Below are 20,344 nucleotides of genomic sequence, written 5' to 3' on the forward strand. Positions count from 1 at the left end.
ACTGGCCATCAGAGAAATGCAAATCAAAATCACAGTGAGATACCATCTCACACCAGTTAGAATGGTGATCATTCAAAAGTCAGGAAACAACAGGTGCTGGAGAGGATGTGGAGAAATAGGAGCACTTTTACACCGTTGGTGGGACTGTAAACTAGTTCAACCATTGTGGAAGACAGTGTGGTAATTCTTCAAGGATCTAGAACTAGAAATACCATTTGAACCAGCCATCTCATTACTGGATATATACCCAAAGGATTATAAATCATGCTGCTATAAAGACACATGCACACGTATGTTTATTGCGGCAGTATTCACAATAGCAAAGACTTGGAACCAACCCAAATGTCCATCAATGATAGACTGGATTAAGAAAATGTGGCACATATCTACCATGCAATACTATGCAGCCATAAAAAAGGATGAGTTCAGGTCCTTTGTAGGGACATGGATGAAGCTGGAAACCATTCTCAGCAAACTATCGCAAGGACAAAAAACCAAACACCACATGTTCTCACTCATAGGTGGGAATTGAACAATGAGAACACATGGACACAGGAAGGGGAACATCACACACTGGGGCCTGTTGTGGGGTGGGGGGAGGGAGGAGGGAGGAGGGATAGCATTAGGAGCCATACGTAATGTAAATGATGAGTTAATGGGTGCAGCACACCAACATGGCACATGTATACATATGTAACAAACCTGCACGTTGTGCACATGTACCCTAGAACTTAAAGTATAATTTAAAAAAAACCTAAATGTGATATATGCTTATAAATTACACAGTATTTCTTCCAAGATAACTTAATCAATCCTACTTTGTAAATATTCCTACCCAGGAAAAATACAAGTTGATATAGAACCAGAGGTATAAATTTCAGCTATTTTCTTTATGGTCTCTTCAACTTCATGTCTCATTTGACTTGCAGCCTAAGAAATTGTGAATCTGTTGGTGTTCTCCAGGTTTTTATAATAGTGGATTTGAACAACCAATTTCCTATGAAATTTAAGCTATAATTTCCTTTTCAATGTTACAACATACCATATTATCTATCCCAATATCTGGTTTACAAGCCTCCCAAAGGCTCTTTCAGGTATATGCAGCATTACAGTATTTGCCAAGTAAAAAAAGTATTTCAGTTCCAAGGCTTGCATGAAAGGAAGCCCTGTGTATCTGTGGCTGCCAAATTGGCTGAGCAATTTCTTCCTGATACTTCCTACTGCAGATGAAGAATATGAACAGGTGAACTGTTACCTTTCCCTAGAGTCAAAAGGGCCTTCCCACTGAAGTCCATTGCCAGTCATGCTAAATTAAACATTCTTGAAAAAACAGAGGGCAAAATCTTGGGGGCATCATTTTCCTCATATTGATCCCCTTGAAGTTAATGGAAATGATATACAGAAGAATTGGGTGACAATGGTGGTGGCAAAACAGTTAGGTTTGTAGTACATCATCATCACCACCGTGACCAAATGCTTCCTAGAGTCTCCCACACGTCTGGATGGCACCAAGGTAGTTGTAATAGGTTTATAGTGCTTAGTTTTGAACTGTTTTTCAGGGTTACAATGACAATAGGTCATGAGTTTGCGGCAAGGGGAGCGGGTACCTCCCCACACCAACTCCCCTACAAAAGCAGCACAAGTGGTTGCTTTTTGGCTACAAGACAAGTAAGAAATGTGATAATGAAGTCGTGCCTTTTTATTTGCTCACTCTTCCAAAAGGTAGAATCTATCTCTGCTTCTGTTCAATATTCAGAACATTTATATGCAAAGGTATGTAATTAATAGATCTGGAAAAATAGTTAACCACTAAAAATCACTAGTGATAGAAATTGGTGGCAAGATTGCAGAATTAGGCAAAGAGCAGTAAGAAAAAAAAAAGTAATCCTGACTCTTGGTAGGCAGGTTTTATTTGGAAAGTCTCAGAGGTCAGCAATATTTAGGCAGGTTAGGTAGGTCAAGCCAATGACCGTTCAAATAAGACAATGCTATCCTCATCATGAGCACAGATTCTGTGACATAGATACTCCAAGTATTATTGTCAAAAGGGAGGCCAGAATGACAGCCAAGAGATAGACAGAGGTAGATGAAAGGTGGCAGTCTACATAAGACTCAGGAAAGTCAAGACGGTTTTCAGAAGATCCGAATCAGCCAGTGTATCAGTGACAAGAGGAGCTTAGTCATAAAACATTACTCTCTGGGTATTGTTTTAAAGAAAGAAATGTCATTTAAATAAAGAAATATGTTTTTTGTTTTTTGTTTTTTTTTTGAGACAGAGTCTCGCTCTGTTGCCCAGACAGGAGTGCAGTCGTGCGATCTCAGCTCACTGCAACCTCTGCCTCCCCGGTTCAAGTGATTCTTTTGCCTCAGCCTCTCAAGTAGCTGGGACTACAGTTGTGCGCCACCACACCAGGCTAATTTTTGTATTTTTAGTAGAAACGGGGTTTCACTATATTGGCAGGGCTGGTCTCGAACACCTGACTTTGCGATCTGCCCCCCCCCCCCCCCACCCCCCACCCCCTCGGCCTCCCAAAGTGCCGGGATTACAGGCGTGAGCCACTGCGCCCGGCCCTAAGAAATGTCTTTCACTCTTCTAGCGAGATGGTTCATGAATCTAAGTCTGGATTTCTAGGGATGGGGACTCAACAAGTTACTATAATGCTACACCTTGTTCCTTCACAACACATTGAAAGAAGTTCAGTTTATCATATGGAGATATCAGATTCTCTATAAAATTTATTAGGTGATCTCTATCATTCATTATGGAAATTTCAAATAAAAACAGTACAGAGAATAGTAAAAACAACTAATCACCCAACTTCAAAAATTACCAACATACAACCAATTTTGTTCCAACAATATTCCTTATACTTCCCTCCCACGACAGATACTGAAGCAAATCTCAGATGGCATATTATTTCATCTGTTAAAATTCAGATAGCACTTTTTGTGAAAAATAAGGACTATTTTTAACATAATTATACCTCTCACATTAACAATCATTTCTTAATATCACCAACTATCCATTTAGTATCTAAATTTCTCTGATTATCTCATAAATGTCTGTTTACAGTTATCATTTAAAAAATAATTAATTAACATATTAAATGTATTTACAGGGTACAAGTGCAAGTTCCTTACATGCATATATTGTGTAGTGGTGAAGTCTGGGCTTTTACTGTACCCATCACTTCAATAGTGAACATTGTATCCAATAGGTACTTTTTCAACCCTTACCCTCTTCCTACCTTCCTACATTTTGTAGTCTCTAGTGTCTTTAATTTGACTTTGTATGCCCATTGTTTAGCTGCCACTTATAAGTGAGAACACGCAGTATTTCACTTTCTGTTTCTGAGTTAATTCACAGAGAATAGTGTCCTCTAGTTCCATCAATTAGTATCATTTTGAATCAGGTCCCAAACAAGATCCACATTGCTTGGTGTGCTTTTTTTCTTATACGCTGGAAGAGCACATTATGACTTTTTACTAACAGTTCTTCCTTCTTGTTTATTTTTTTCCCTTGCCATTTACTTGTTGAAGGAAACAGGTCACTTGTTTTTAGAATTTCCCACATCCTGATTTTAGCTGCTTGCATTATAGGAGGCTTAATTTAGCATGTTTCTCTCATCCTCTGGATTTTCTGTAAAAGAGTAGTTAGACCTAGAGGCTTGATCAGATTCTTGTTTGCCTTTTGGTAAGAACATTTCATTAGTGCTGCTCTGTACTTCTTATTGAATCACATCAGAAGGCTCATAATGTCTGGTTGTCTCTTTTTGTGATGTTAAGATTGATCAGTGGGTTCAGATGATGTCAGCTGATCCATCCATCACAACTTTCCCACCAGTCCTTCAGGTAATGGCTTTAGTAGCCGTTAATTATTATCTAGATGGATTATTTCATTAGGGTTGCAAAAGGGTTATCCTTTAATTCTATCATTCCATTTGTATTTCTTAGCTAGAATTTATCCATAAAGAACTGTCTTTTGTGGACTATTTAGATAATCTGGGAAGACGTTTGTATAGCCAAGGTAAGGTAACTATTTAATATTTTTCACTTTATTTTCCTCTTTATCATTTTGAGGCAATTATTAAGCCCTTACTCTAATGTGTCACAAGAAGGCACACACAAACCAATGGGAAAATCAGAGCTCTAGATGCAGAACTAAGGGACCTAATCTTGCCATTGCCTGGTATGTAGCAGCAAGTTTGTACATGTGACATATCTGACACATGCACTTCTCTGTGGTCTAAAGAAACATCTTTAATGATACGTCTTATTTCTATAAAAATTTAATTCTCTAATTCCTATAATTTCTGACATTGTCAGGACCTGTATCTGCTGCCTTTAATCATACATACATTCTTAGTTCTATAAATATATTTGTAATCCCACTCGCTGTACATTGTTTTTATGGTAAGCTTCCATTATTCATTACAGAAAAGATTCATTGAATATCTGGCTCCATTTTATATAGACTCACTATTGTGTGTCCTTTATCTTGCTTTCTACCTTAACCAATCTAGTAAGACTGCTTTTATTAAGTCAGCCACTTATTTCTGGCAAAAAACTATATATTTACCTACTATTTTTTTCACTTTGATTCTGCTTATTAGTTATGAAAACTTAGTCAACTCATCTTACTCCTCTAGCCTCAGTTCCTTCATTACTAAAATTGGGATCAAGAAACCCTTCTCCAGAGACATTCTGAAGACTAACAAAGGTAAATTATGTGAAATCAGTAGTCATAGAGCCATTCTTACATTCATTTATCCTGTTCAGCAGTCATTGAGCTCTTTCTGGTGGTAGCTTCTAGGCTAAGTCCTAAGAATATGTAAAGTGAAACAGACATGGGCTTTGCTTTCAGGATGCTTCAGTCTGACGGTGAGTATACACATTAAAAATATAATTGCACCTAATCCATAGGTGTTCCACAAATGATTGCCGTATTTGACAATTCAGCAATTTGACTGTTCAATTGTTGATTTATTGCTTATTTCTATCCATTTATTAGAAATTAATGTTTAGTTCTGGCTCACTAATGTTTTCACGATATAGGTGTCATGAATTTCTTTACTGTGTTTGAAAGAACGTATGACACTGAGTTTCACTTTAGAACTTCCTAAGTATTAAGTATATAAGTAAAAAATGCTGGGAAGTGGAGAATTTTCGTTTTGTTCATTCACTCATCCATTTATCAACTGTTCAGTGCAACTAGAATAAGCAAGATGATTTCAGAGAAGATAGTGATGCTCAGATCAACTTGTTTTATAAGGCAACAGAGATGAGTTAATCAGAATTAGACAATGCCTCTTCTGTGTTTGACTGGCTATTATTGCCTGCAAATTGCATCAAATATTTTAAAGATTTGAGATGAAAGATTTGGATCAATATGTCTGATTTAATAAAGCCACTTATAACCCGAGACAGATTGACCATACTTAAAAGAAGTAGGTCTAGATCTGTGAGATAAAGAAATGACTAGCGAATGTCATCTGCCAGAACTGAACTCATATGTGCTTGTCTGTGGCTTTATAAGGAAAGTTGTGTACTTTTTATCTCATTTTCCCATTCTCATTGGTATTTCTTAATTGCCAAACACATCTTTGGCTACTTGTTTTGTGTATTTAATACCATATTCTCTTTGTTGACATTGAGTTAGTCTACGACATATAGTTTAAAATAGCTAAGAGAGTGTATGTGTGTGTGTGTGTGTGTGTGTGTGTGTGTGTGTGTTTTAAGCAGCCATTGAGATGACTCAGAAATCTAACTTCTGTTCAGGTGTGTAAGTTGGATTCGTGTCATATCTTTTAATTCTTAGCTTTATTACTTTTTTTTGCTGGTGATTAAAGGAGAACATATCATCTCGTTGATATTTTGCCTCTCTTACTCTTTTTAATAGTTTGATCACAACTTATTTTCTCTTAATTGTTTCTAACTTTCTCATAACATTTCTCTTAACTTTTAGTTTCCAAGAGTGAAGGTATGGTTGAACATACTCTTTTTCTAAATTATTTTTCCACTCTTCTGTAAGAGGATTATGCTTCCTGGCTCTGTTGATATCAGATTTGGTCAAATGACTTGCTAGGCCAATGAAATGTGAGTGGAGGTAACATGGACTACTTTCTGATAGAAGCTTTAAGAACCATCATGTAGTTCTCTCATTATTCTCCTTCCTCTGCCATGTGATAAAAATAAGGGCTGCTGCTTCAGTTTGGGTACCAGGATGAAGAAGACTTTCAGTGTGAATTAATGTGAATTGAGGCTGACAGGCATTAATGAGAAATAATAAATAAAAATAGACAGCTCAGATTTGGGGGTCATTTGTTATAGCAATGTATTAGTTGACTAATACAAAGGAACATGCTAGTTTCATAAGCAGTGGGGCTGTGTATGATGGCTCACACCTGTAATCCCAGCACTTTGGCAGGCCAAAGCAGGAGGATTGCTTGAGGCCAGTTCAAGATCAGCCTGGGCAATATAGTGAGATCCCATCACTAAAAAATTTTTAAACAATTAGCCAGGCAACATGTCTGTAGTCCCAGCTACTTGAGGGGCTGAGGTGGCAAGATTGCTAGAAAAAAGAGGCAACAGGATGGACTGTTGGCATAAGAAAGAGAAAAGAGCATGTATTTTGGAGTAAGGTAGATCTGGGTTTGATCAAGCTTTGAATTCCACTAGTTGTGAATACTTGGGCTAGTTATTAAACTATTTATACCTCACTTTTTTAATCTGTGAAATGAGGGATAAGCCTACAATAAACTTATTAAGTTTGCTGTGAAGATTAAATGAGATCATCGCATTAATGTAATTCTTATTGTTGTAACCAATAGTCAAATGCAAAACTATATAATAACTCAAAATTTATGGAAGTTTACTTCTTACCTAAACTACAAAACAGATGCTCTTAATTGTCAGGTACATTTATTCCAAACAGTGACTCAGAGACGAAGCTGCCTCTTTCCATCTTGTGGCTCTGCTGTCTGCAGTATGTGGCTTCCAAGGTTGCCTGTGGGATATATCCATTCCAGTCATCCAGAAGGGCAAAAGAACATGAAAGATCCTGAAAGGGAGGTTTGTCATGGGCGATGCATGGAAGTGGTACACATTGCTTTTGCTCACAGTACTGGATTCTGATTAGAATCCCGTTACATGGTCATACTTGAGTCAATGTTGGCTGTAAATGTAGTCTGGCTATGTGCTTAATAAGAAGAGGAAATGGTTGGTGAACAGTTAGCAGTCTCTGCCATAGTGATATATGTAAAGGGCATAGACTACTAACTAGCACCTGGCAGATACTTAATAAATATTCTTTTCTGTTTGTGTCTCTAAGTTCCTTCAAACCTTATGTAAATATCAAAAGTGTTTATTTGCTGGGATCAGACAAATGACATTTAAAATGGAATATATACATTTTGAAGCCATAAAAAATATATACTTTTTAGCTCAGGGGTCTTCCTTGGTATTCACACAGCACTTGCTTTGTGCAAAGGTCTTGGATCACTGGCAATCAAAACTAGAGTTCCTAGAGGCATTCAATGAATGTCTGTTGAATGCCTACCTGAACAAATATACCTCTCTCGATTTTAATAAAATACCATGACTGAGCCAGGGGGAACTAAACTGGCTTCCTAGAGACTATTGCCTTGCTGTCTAAGAATCGGTATTTAACTTTTACTTACTATGGGAAATGGTTGTATTTATAACCCAAACTTAAATTAAAATTTTAACTAAGTGTTAGCTAAAATTTTCCAGTTAATTTCATTGTTATTGAATTATTTCTTTGGATTTATACTTTGAGGCTGGATACATGTAAAAACTATTGATAATTTCTGCTTGTTGAAATCAGGCTTGTGAGAGTTCTTGCAAATTTATAAAGATATGTTTGAATCTTAGTTTTTCTTATTCTCTTAGGCAACTCATACTACACATATGGGCCTCGACTATTTAATCAATAAAACCAGATGAGGATAAAGACTAGGTTATATACTCATAGTGAATTTTAAATGGGGTAAAGAATGTAAAACAATGAATACATTTTCTGGCATGTAGTAAATACTCAGTAAATGGTAATTTTCTATTAATATTAATAGCAATAATGATAGTAATAGCACCATAATACTAATAATGGAAAAATAATAAACTATTATCAGGGAAGGGCATATTTTTCTCAGAGGCACACTGTAGATGTGCAATAGGATGATTAACCATCTTTGCCTCCCTAGAACAACACAGAACAAGGTTGGAATATGCTTCCCGTTATGCCAAGGGCAAGGTTTTGTTCTCACCTGAGTGTTTTGACACTGCATAATTTGATAGTAAACAAATTATGTCACGTTTGGCGTGTACTCCTTCATATTTTTGAAAAGCCACTAGAGGGTGCTACTTTGCTAGAAAAATACAAGTACTTCCTTACAGTAACATTTTCAGTCTGCAGCCGCGACGTCTGATGTTAGGGACTAGAACTGAGATCTCTGCTGTGAGTATCCGGATACAATTTATTCATTTTCTTTCGCTTATGTAGGAAGTAAATAGGAATAGCTTAGGTAAGCTACAAAAGTTGATTCAAATAAAATCCTAGTCTTTTATTTCAGTAAAGGTTCATACCCATTCTATTAGGAAAAAATTGTCAATATTTCTTACTAAACAAAATTGTGAGGGTAAATGACTTTCTTATGAGATATAAGCTGGCTTTAATACGTGTGCTGTGTTTTTGCTAGACTTCTGTTGTTTTAAGTTTGGTATAAGGATATTATTCTGTCTTTGGTAGTTTTTAATTATAAGGGTTAGTGAAAATGAAGATCATTTTGTATGATTTTGCTCTCTGAAAAATAATGTTTCAGTGAATCAAAGGTCACAAATATATTCAGGTGGCTGAGGTGCAGGTAAACTAAGCCTGTGACCTTCCTTTTTGTTACTCTGAGTGTAAAGTAAATGTTATGTTGGTGAGAGGTTGTGTTAAGCGTCAACCTCAATTATGAATAACGGCCTTTAGTCTATAGCTCATACTCAATGGCAAGTGCATCTTTGTGGAGGCAATTATCTAAGGATGAAACATAGTCAGCATGGGTCGAGTCAAAATATTTCTGCAAATTAACCATTGTCTTTTCAGCTGACCATGAGGTAATGAGATGAAAGAAGATTGTCAGTAGTTGAGTGAGAGGAATAAATATATGGGAGACATAAAGAATCCTAGTTGTGTAATAGATGTGAATTATACAAAACCTGGATGTTCTCATTTTTGATCCCTGATAGAAGAGTTAGCTTCCTGAGAGATTTTTGTCCTACTACGTATTACTTCAAAAATATAAGAGTTGGGGAAAAGGGTTTCTGATTTGTCTTCCCTTAGTGAAAGGAACACTAAAAAGTTTCAGACAAAATTATCTGAAAGAGTCTAGCTCCTCAAGTCTTTTGAGTTTCCTCTACCCTAGGTAACTAATCAAGTCTGGGTTGTACTTGATGATTAAACAAGAATTTGGTCACTGGGGTGGTGCATGGGGTGTGTGTGTGTGGTGTGTGTATTTCACACACTCACATATGTCTAATTACAACTTTAAGAAGTCATGTCAGAGAGTATCTTTTTATTCTCTGTCTTACCCTACTTTAATTTTCGGTGTTAATTCAGCGTTTATAGCTTGTTTGTATGATTATCTTTAGGAGCAGTTTTGTAAGTTAGGTAGTTATTGGTGGTGGGAGAAGGGGAGGAGTCAGTATATTCCGATTTTTTTCACTGTTGTTATGTTTTTCAACTCCATACTTTAAATCTTGTACAGATAATTTGAGACTGGCAACATTTAAGTGGCTCTAAAACACACAAAAAATTTCCATCTATCTTTTTTCATTAATGTAGATCATGTCTTTCTGTTTATTTAACTCCACTTTGGGATATAAATGAAATCAAACGGGGTTATATCCTTGTCCATGCTGGGGAGTACTTTCCTAGCACAGGACAGTTGGCTAAATAGTCCATACAGTAGATTAGAAGGGGAACTGTCAAACCTGGACTGAATTTTTACTGAGAAAATACCTCTATTTTAATTTGCCAGCTGTATAAAACATAGATTACAGAAAATAATATTGAATTGGAAGGTGGGGGGCAGTTAGCATTCTGGTTCTGATCTGTTCCTAAGTTGTTGGCTAATGACTTTATCTTGGGTAAACCATAGATATGGTTTATCCAAGCTTCAGTTTTTTATTTGTTTTTATCTTATAGGAAAGAATAGTGTCTCTTTTGTTCATATCAGAGGATTGTTGAGTGACATACAAAAAAAATGCCCTAAATTATAAAGACCAACAAAACTGTTGCCATGGTCTGTCAATGTGGTCATGAAAATGGACTTTATAAGATTCATTAAATACTATTGGGGAAATACCCTGCACCAGCGCTCTGACTTCTAATTCTACACATTGCTCCCTTCAAATGACCATACTGCATGTTTCAGCCTGACAAGAGATGCTGAATGTGTGATGATGGGGGAGAAAGGAAGAGGTAGCTCATCTTCCAATGTTGTGTACAGATTGTCACTGCCAACACCCTACAGCTGTGCTTTTGCTTTTGATTTCTTCATGCCTTTTATATGACTCAATTCCTGCTTTAAGGCACATTGTATTCTTGGCTTCTTAAGCTCAGATGCTCAAATAATTCCATGGGGTCCACTATATAAACTTAAAACCACAGTGGATGTGAAATTGGAAATACTAAACTTGGAACTGTTCTTTTTTGCTCATATTTTCTCATTTGATAAATTGAGGGAAGCAATGTTTTTCAGTAGCTCCCTTTGGTATAGCTCCATGGCTCTCAAACCTTGGATCTAGGCTTTTATTACCTCGCTGGACTAAGTATTGTTAGGAAGTCCTCTTCTTTTGCCTTGTACACCCTTAAACAAGCCCAATAAACGACAGCCTTGGTTTCCCTGTCTAAGCTGATCTCTCTCTCTCTCTCTCTCACACACACACACACACACACACACTCCAACATTATCTGTATGTATGAGGCAAGATAGATGGAGATTAGAGAGATCAACATATCCCTTTATTCCTTATGATTGATAAAAAACTAATATTGGAGAATGTGCCTTATGGATGTGGCAATAATGGGCATCCTAATAACAAACTGCAGGCCCAGCCAGAGTAAACTTGGAATCTCCTGGGTGACAGTCTGCCTCCGCTATAGCTAAAGGCTAGGTGGAACATGTATACACTTTCAGGGTAGCTGGCTCCCTCAGAAATGTGGAGGGAAAAGGGCTGAGCTGGCCGGGTGCGGTGGCTCAGGCCTGTAATCCCAGCACTTTGGGAGGCTGAGGCGGGCGGATCACGAGGTCAGGAGATCGAGACCATCCTGGCTAACACGGTGAAACCCTGTCTCTACTAAAAATACAAAAAAATTAGCCGGGCTTGGTGGCGGGTGCCTGTAGTCCCAGCTACTCGGGAGGCTGAGGCAGGAGAATGGCATGAACCCTGGAGGCGGAGCTTTGCAGTGAGCCGAGATTGCGCCACTGCACTCCAGCCTGGGTGACAGAGTGAGACTCCAACAACAAAAAAGGGCTGAGCTATGCCTACTTAGTTCCTCTCCCAAACTTATCAATTAAGTAACTGACTCCACGTTTCTAGGGTGAGAAACCTTGGGAAAACCCCATTACAGAAAACTGAGAAAAAGCAAATAACTGTCCTTACCCCCAGCCCCCAAAATATTCTCCAGGTGCTTGTTTTCTTATATTATGGAACCTAATCATCAGGTCTGTAGAAAGCAGATGGTTACCACTGATATCTGACTTCTGGTGGCTCTGCCTGGGACCACTGGTGATAGAGACAACATTTTCTCTTGGAAATATCCAAAAAGGTCAGTCTATACTAGAGCTGAAAATTCTCTCTCCTTTCTCTTCTCAATCCAAATGATATCCATCTAAATTGTCCAAGCTTATTAGAAATTTTGCAATGATATTTAATGACTACATGAGGCCATCCCAATAATAGTATGCCAAAACTAGATGTCCTAAACTGTTATATAAATCTCTGCCCATTATTAAATCCTTCAACAGTAATAAAAGAGCAAATTTAAACTCTTAAATGGTATAGTTCAAATGAATTAAAAACCAGACACACATATATTTCACTTTTGTTATTTCAAAAAAATTAGTGATAAAAACATCGCTTCCAATTTCTCATTCTGATCAGTGTCAGCAGAGAATTCTTGGTGGCTGGGGAGGATGAGTTTCCTTCAGCAGCTGCAGCTTGGATTATTTCTCACAGAATGGGTGTAGTTCTTTCACAGCTTCAGAAGTTGCATGAATTCAATGCCAAATTTTTGATGTGCCTCATTATTTTGAAGGGGGTTTACAAGATTATTATGACACTGGCCTCACTCACATCAGATTGAGAAAAAATGAATCTCCAGCCTCTGGAACAGTTTTCCCAGGGAAACTCAGTATTTAGTGATGCCAAAGATTATAAAAGACATTTAATGAGATCTGGGAATAGGATAGACAGTCTTGATTTTGGTTTAATCAGGATGCCACTGTATGCCAGTTTTTTAGAGTCAATGATTGGAGACCTTGCATTCAACTGGGAGAATTGGCCATAAAGACGTTACCTCTGGCACTAGAGAACTACCAGATCTTGAAGAAAAATCCATCTATGCACATGGTCTCTGCTACAAAAGGATATTTGAGACATGCTGGGTAAGCTTAGGAATTTGCAAGAGCTTCTGCATTCTTATCTGGCCATGTGTTTCAGGCATCCTGATGGTGGTGTAGTGTGGATTCTGTCTAGTAACATGTTATCCACTTTCTCCTCTGCCATGGTGGTGGATCCACTGGTCTTGCTATAAAATTGGTTAGTCCTCGGAACTCTTCCTCCTACTCATAACCAGTCCAGCTGGAGAGACACCCTCAGTAAATTTTTGAACTCAAAGTGTTTTTGATAATTTTTGAAATTTGAAGCCTTAGGGAGGTTTAGTGAGAATGGGTATCTCCATGTGTTCTTCAAGACAGTTGGTCTGGTACAAAATATGTAAAGTTAGGACCTCACACACATGTGCTCTGAAGCACTCATAGAACTTAGATGCCTGTGCACTTTGAAGACAATGCCTACATACATGGTTTAGAAATATAGAAAAATCAACAAAAACTGCTTCACCTCTTGTCACACACAGTGGGTAGTTTAAGGTCCTGATGTAGCAGCCAGCTTCCACAAGTCTTTTTGGCCCATGTGGCTTTATTTAAAGCCTGGGAAGGCTTGCTTGTGGAAAAACAGCTTCTCCCTATATAAAAATAGCCACACACCCGTGAACAAGCCACCATAAGCTACAGGTCCCCGACAAATTCAAAATCCTCTAGTGACCCATCCTTTTAAAGCCCCAGGTTTAAAGCTGCTGCTTAGGCTGCACTGATTATATGCACAACAACAGCTGTGAAAACCAGTTGTATAATGCAATACAAGCCCTTGCAAACCACCGAGGTCAACAAAAGACACAGCCTGATCTCTTCCAGTCCCTCAAGATTCAATTTTAGTTTTGCTACCCAAATTGCACTCCACATCTATCTCTTAATGTTCCTGGCTCAAGGCATCATATTCTAAACACTGTCTTGAATTCAACTTCCCAATCGTAGGTAGAGGCAGAGGCAGAGTCTGCCCTCTAATACATGAGGCTTGGGATAACACAACTGAATGTCTGCTCTCTGTAGTTAGCTGGATCACAAGGGTGGATGGCAGAAAGAGCTGGGATACTTGTTTCCAGTTCCTTTCTGAAACTCACCTGTCAGGTAACTCACTCCATCTTTGTGCACAAGAAGCTGGACGTATTTAGGATAAACCCCTCTTTGCGGAAAGCAGAGGAGTGAAGTTCTAGTCCCTCTCAACATGACCTGATTCGATTTTTCCCCTGTGGCCTCCTTTGATAGACTGTCTTGAAACAAGTGTTTCTTTCCAGAATAAAAACCAAACAAACACAAAGGACTTATGTGTTCTAAGTAATTGAGGAGCTCACCAGTTGAATGGCTTGACTGATGCGTCATCAATTTTAATTCTGCTGCAGAGGGTTTCCCCAGGTGCTTTACATATGCTAGCTGTAACTGATCTCTTCAAGCACTCAATGTAACACTTTTCTGGAAATGCTGGGTTAAGTCTTGCTTTCCAAAAGTAAGCTGGAAAGATTTCAAATAACATGGATGGAAAAAAATTGAATAAACAGGAAAATGATTCACAGTGTGCATTGATACAGGGAGATGTAATTACATTAAATTAAATGAGGTAATAGTTGTGAAAGAACTTGGCAAACTTGTAAAATACCATATGAAGGTAAAGTTTTAGCTTTTACATTCTGTACAAATGGATTGCAATTTGAAGTCCACAGTTCCTATTATAAGGATTTTGGTAGGAAGGTTAAAACCTAGTTTTACTCTTCCTTACATTAGGAGAAGCCTTGAAATGGTAAATGATCTTTCTAAGCCATATGGTCCATAGTCACCAACATAAGGAATGTCTAAGTGGGACCAGAAGTCAGTATGTTTCTCTTAATGATCAGTGTCAGAAGTTTGTGAGTGCCTAGATTCATGTGAAATGCAAGCTACCAGGGCATAAGACACTGACAAAGCTGAAAACTGGACCATAAAAAAATCTTAACAACATCAACTCAGAATATGAAAAGAAGAGATATGTATCTTCTGGAACTAAAGATGAGTTAATAATTTTTTCCTATATGTGAAAAAAATAATTTTCGCCTATACTGTGAAAAAATTATTTGATGAACAATCGCTTCTCAGTAATGATAAAATAATATTATTTTGTTTTATTTTATTTTTTCTGAGATGGAGTCTTGCTATGTTGCCCAGGCTGGAGTGCAATGGCATGATCTCTGCTCACTGCAACCTCCGCCTCCTGGACTCAAGCAGTTCTCCTACCTCAGCCTCCTGAACAGCTGGGATTACAGGCACCCACCACCACGCCTGGCTAATTTTTGTATTTTTAGCAGAGATGGGGTTTCACCATGTTGGCCAGGCTGGTCTTGAACTCCTGGCCTCAGGTGATCTGCTCCTCTCGGCCTCCCAGAGTGCTACATTACAGGCATGAGCCACCATGCCCAGCCTAAAATAATATTAAAAAGCCCCACTCTGTCTCTGTCCTTCTATATAAATTTAGTGTACATAAATGTAATTCTGAGTATTAATCAACAACTTGTTTTTTCCCATTTTGTTTAAATGGTTAGTTCAGGGATGCATTCTCTTAAGTCTTAATGAAATACCCCCATCAGTAAAACAAAAATTTTCCTTTGGGACTTACAGTATACAGTAAGTTTGTCTATAGTGCAGAACTTGAAATTGTTCCAACACAATTGATATATTAAGGAGCATTTGAAGCATGACACAAATTTTGCCTTTGCTTCTGCACAATTTTGTTTGTGAGAGACTGCAGTCAACTGTAGCCAGTTGAACCCAGCTGCATAGGAATTTATAAAACACACACATACACACATCTCACATATTAACATCTACCCCTTACCTCATTTCACTATGTGTATTATGAGCCACGCCCACCCACATCTGGTGTTAGAACTTGCAGATCCACTTCAGATAACCTTCCTTCTGCCATTTCATAATAACTCATAAGCTGCAACCCTTCTGCAAACTTCAGGTCTTTTTCAAGGTAAAGCACCATATTTATTGTAGTATTTATGTATTTCATAACTATTTCATGTGTATAAAACTGTAATACCATTTTATTAGTTTTCTATTTTTTTAATGTGTAACTGATGTTTCTGATTTTAACCCCATTTTCTCATGAACCATTTCTTTTAGTGCAACTTGGCATAGCATGGTAATTTAAGGAATGCAGATACTGTATTGTAGCAGAACTGACTGGATTTTAAATTCAGTTTTCCCTTTATATTTATATTTTGAAGCAACAAGTAAATACAATTCTCTATTTTCCATTTCCGTTCCTCCATCATTTTTGGATAGTGCTGTTAGCTTACCTGCAAGATCCTTGCCAGGAGGCACCTTGTAAGTTTCTGTTGACAGCAAGCCTGTCTGGATTTGCATGAACTGTGAGTGATTTCTTGAAAATCTACACTTTTGAGGCTGAGTACAAACCTGCAGGAGTCCTTCTTTAGGCCCAGAGACATTAGCTGATGGCACTCATGCATCCTTGTTTTTCCATGTTCTGAACAGGAGAGGAAGTTTAGCAGTCAGACACTTTCATATATGGTATTTGATAAATATGTATATAAAATATATGTAAGAAAAAATTTCCCAAGGATTTATTTTTATAAAATATTTTTATTTGTGCATCTGTCTCAGGCCAGGTGAATAATATCACATATAGGGTAATAGGCCTTTTACTCTGATCTTTATTGCTGGATTTGTCTTTAGAAACCCCTTATCTTATTCATTATGTGTCCTATGTTATGCGCAGCCATAGTGCATAAAAGATAAGTTGTAGAACAAAATGCTCAATGATTTGAGAGAAATATACTTTCTCATGAAAGCTGAGAAGGGATATTAATGTTTATTAACTTCTTCCTATGTGCTAGGAAGTTGGTTACCTTGTTCATTGATAACACATTCAGTCTATTCATTCAATCTTCACACTATCCCTTATTTTTATTCTATTCATTTTAACAGATGAAAAAACTGAAGCTCATAGAAGGTAATTATCCCTATTTCAAGTGGTAGAACATGTGTCAATTTGCATTCTTAGATAAGTAAACACAAAGATGGGATTAGATTTGCAAGACATTTGTCAGGGGAATGGCTGTGAAAGATAGAGGAGGAAGTAGGAGGGTCCTTGTACCATATTACGGGTCTGACACCCAGGAAAGGAGGAAGAAGGAAGGAGCACTTGTCAGGAAGAACCTCAGATTGAAGGCACTTCTGATAAATCTCTGCCAGGCTGGTGTTTTAGGAATCCCCAAGCTTATTACAGGAATCCTGCACTGTGTAGAAGTGGCCTAATTCTGATACCCCTCCCACGCCCAGTCATTGGTTGGGAGCAGCACTATGAAAGCATACAGGATATGAGCTCCAAGGTGGATCCAAAAGTGTGGACAGCAGTAGGCTGCCTATCAGCTGTGATCTTGCGAGCAGGTCCTCTTAAGGGGAGATGTGAGCAGTGCACCATGTTGGCCACTGCAGTTATAATTCAATCCAAGATCTGCCGAAGTCCAAGTTCTTCTCTACATGGGTAATGTACGGGGTTGGTGGGAGGGGTGGTTTTCCACTAATCAAAATAAATCCCTTAATACCTCTAAATAGCATACCCTAAGTAAAATTTGTGGATTTGCTATGCAGACACCAGCTTGCTTCATCTAAATTCCTTCTAAAGAGAAATTTTGTAGCTTCCACTTGAGAGAAAAGACAGAGAAGCAATTTTCTAAAGCAATGGTCCTTAACCTTGGCAGCACAGTAGAGTCATGGTAAGGAGCTAGTTAAAATGTCATATGGCAAGTCTGCACCTTAGATCAATGGAATAAAAATCTCTGTGAGGAGAACCTAGGCATCAGTACTTTTTAAAGGTTCGCAGGTGATTTCAATATACATCCCAAGTTGAGAGTTACTATTGTAAAGGATATTTGTCTGAAATGAAAAAGTAGACATCTTCGAACATTCTTCTATGTGTCAAGTCTCTCCATCAGTCCCACTCATGCTCACCCCAGAAAGTTACTTAACTAGTTGAGGTGTGTTCCCAGAAGCCATCTTAAAAATAACTTTTTGTATAATGGGAATCCTACAATATTTTTTAAAACCCAGTTTATATTTCCATTCACATTTCTGTTTTCAGTACACCTTAACTTGAATACATCTTTGTTTTTTGTTTTTTTTTTATTTTAAACAAAAAATAATGGTATACATTTTCACAAGGAAGGAGTCCATTTTCTGGGTACAGTCAGCAATGTGGCTTTTAGAAGTGTCCAGAACCACAGGGAATTCTGGATTTAGAGATAGAGAGACACCCTTCTATCTTCGTGTGGGAAGAAACATTGCCACATGTTTCTAAAAATGAAAGGAAAATGGTTAAGAAGATAGTATGGATTGAACTATGTTGAGATTGTGTTTTGTTTATAATCACATTTTCCCTTAAATTAATATTTATAAAAGTAAGACATATTTATTGTAAAACTTTGGGAAAAGAGACAATGGAGACAGATGAAAATGATATATTTATTGTTAATATTAGTTATTTGTCCAGAAATTCAAACTGGTCAATTTATTTGCCTTCAGTGTGCCTTAAATATGTTAGATTAAGATGGATTTAGCAAAGACTATCCATTGGTACTTGATGTCCATTGCAGTATTAATTTTTCTCTGTTATCAAGAAACAACAACAACAAAAACATTTTAAGATATCTACTCACTTGCAGTGGTGGACCGAGAATGGAGGTGGAACAATGGAAACTACCAGAAATAGGAAATAAAGGATTGCATGGTCTGCAGAAAAGTTAAAAACAATAAAACGAACTGAAAATCAATTTAAAAATTATCGCCATGCACTAACGCTAAATGAAATCAGTGATAAAATACTCCTCCCTGAAAAAAATATTTTACTGGTCTACATTCTAAACTTCAAATGATCACATTTTAAACCTCTCCTTTAATAACGATTGTATTCTGCATTGTATTCTGCTTACAGTATTCCCATTTATACTGTTGGCCTCTGACATACATGAAATCATCTACACATCTTGCTTTGCAAGTTTGTAAATATTTGGTGTCCTTCTAACTTGCTTAAGGCATGATTTGTTTCTAACCTCTCTGATAACACATATCCCTGAATTTAAACAATAGATTAAAAAATGGTGGCACAGCAAGTGTAAAGATAACAACTTGAACTTGAGTGATTTCAATCTTGTCATTCTATCTGAAGATTGGGAGTTTTTTGTGTTTACAGCATAAATGAGAAACAGTGCAGAATGTGAGGTGTAATATTTTTGTAAGTGCAAATTTTCCTTCTTACATGAAATATTTTATTGAATTTAAATAATATTTTTAAAACTGAAATTTCATATTTGTTAATTCCTTTAAGACTAAAAATGAATCAAGGACATAAAACATTGCATCAATATGACTTAAGAGGTTTAGATGTTCACTTTTATTAAAATTCACATTTAGAGGACATTGGCATAACATAATTATATAATACATACAATTTAATTGAAAAAATTTACTGTCTTTGTATCTTTTCTGGCTATTACTTGTCCCATTTCATGATTTTTACTGAAAATAATTTTGTTGTATAAAGTAGGAGATTGTTGAAAACAATCTGATCTCTGTGCCAAGTACTCCAGGTATGCTACTTCTCAACCGCTTTAGCAAAGAGCTTGAAGTCACTGTAATGGGCCCTGTCATCATGTCTGTATTTCCCTTTTTTTCCTTTCCTCCCTCTTCCTTTGCTTGCTTTTTGCACCCAATCTCCAAGGGCAGGAAATGTCTCCTAGAAAGCCTGAGGAAGAAAAGGAAGTATGCATATTCTACTGAGAAATGTAATCTTATTCGGGTTGTCAAAAGGAGATTGGTCAGATTAAATGGTCACTATATGTTATGAATTCTGTTCAGCAGAAATGTTTAAACATTTAATAGTGCTTTTATTGGTCAGCAAAGCGGGCATTTTCTTTTTGAAGATGCACAGTGGAAGGTGAAAGAGAAAATTAGGTGTCTGTAGATTTAGGGTATTAAAGCATAGAAGTGGACGAAGTATTAGTTTGGAGGAGTCATTTCACACCTGTACTCCTACTTTCAAATAGAATGACATCAAAGCACTCTTGGAGAGATATGAAGGCAGAACATATAAATGAAAAGAATTGGTGTTCTGAGTTCTCATTTCATTTCTGTACTAAACAATTGCATGAATAGGGCAAAGCACTGACCATCTAGATAAAAAGGAGGGACTGGGTAATAGGATCTATACAAGCCACCTTTTAAACTGATTTTAAGGTTATCTGAAAGATTTACTTGAGTTAGAAATGCGTTATTAAGAAATATCCTTTTTCCCTTTGTGCTTTTGTCAACAAGAAATTATTCCTGAAATCATATTGATTTTTCACTTAAATAAATGAAAGGAGAATATAATCAAGTAAAACATGATTTTAGGACCTATGACACTTTTGAAATAGAAATAATTGGTATGGTTAAAATGATCAGTATTATTATTATAATCTCACATTTTAATTTATTGAATTTTATTAAGCTACTTTTCAAACATACAAAAAGTTAAAAAGAATATTTTAACATCATTTTCTCAGTAATTTATAGAACATGTACAGAAAAAAAATCAGAAAAATATGGAAGACTAAAACAACATCATCAACAATTTGACCTAATTGACATGTATAGAATATCAGGGTCATTAAGGGCAAAAT

This window comes from Homo sapiens, chromosome 4, assembly GCF_000001405.40.
Source record: "Homo sapiens chromosome 4, GRCh38.p14 Primary Assembly".
Lineage (NCBI taxonomy): Eukaryota > Metazoa > Chordata > Mammalia > Primates > Hominidae > Homo > Homo sapiens.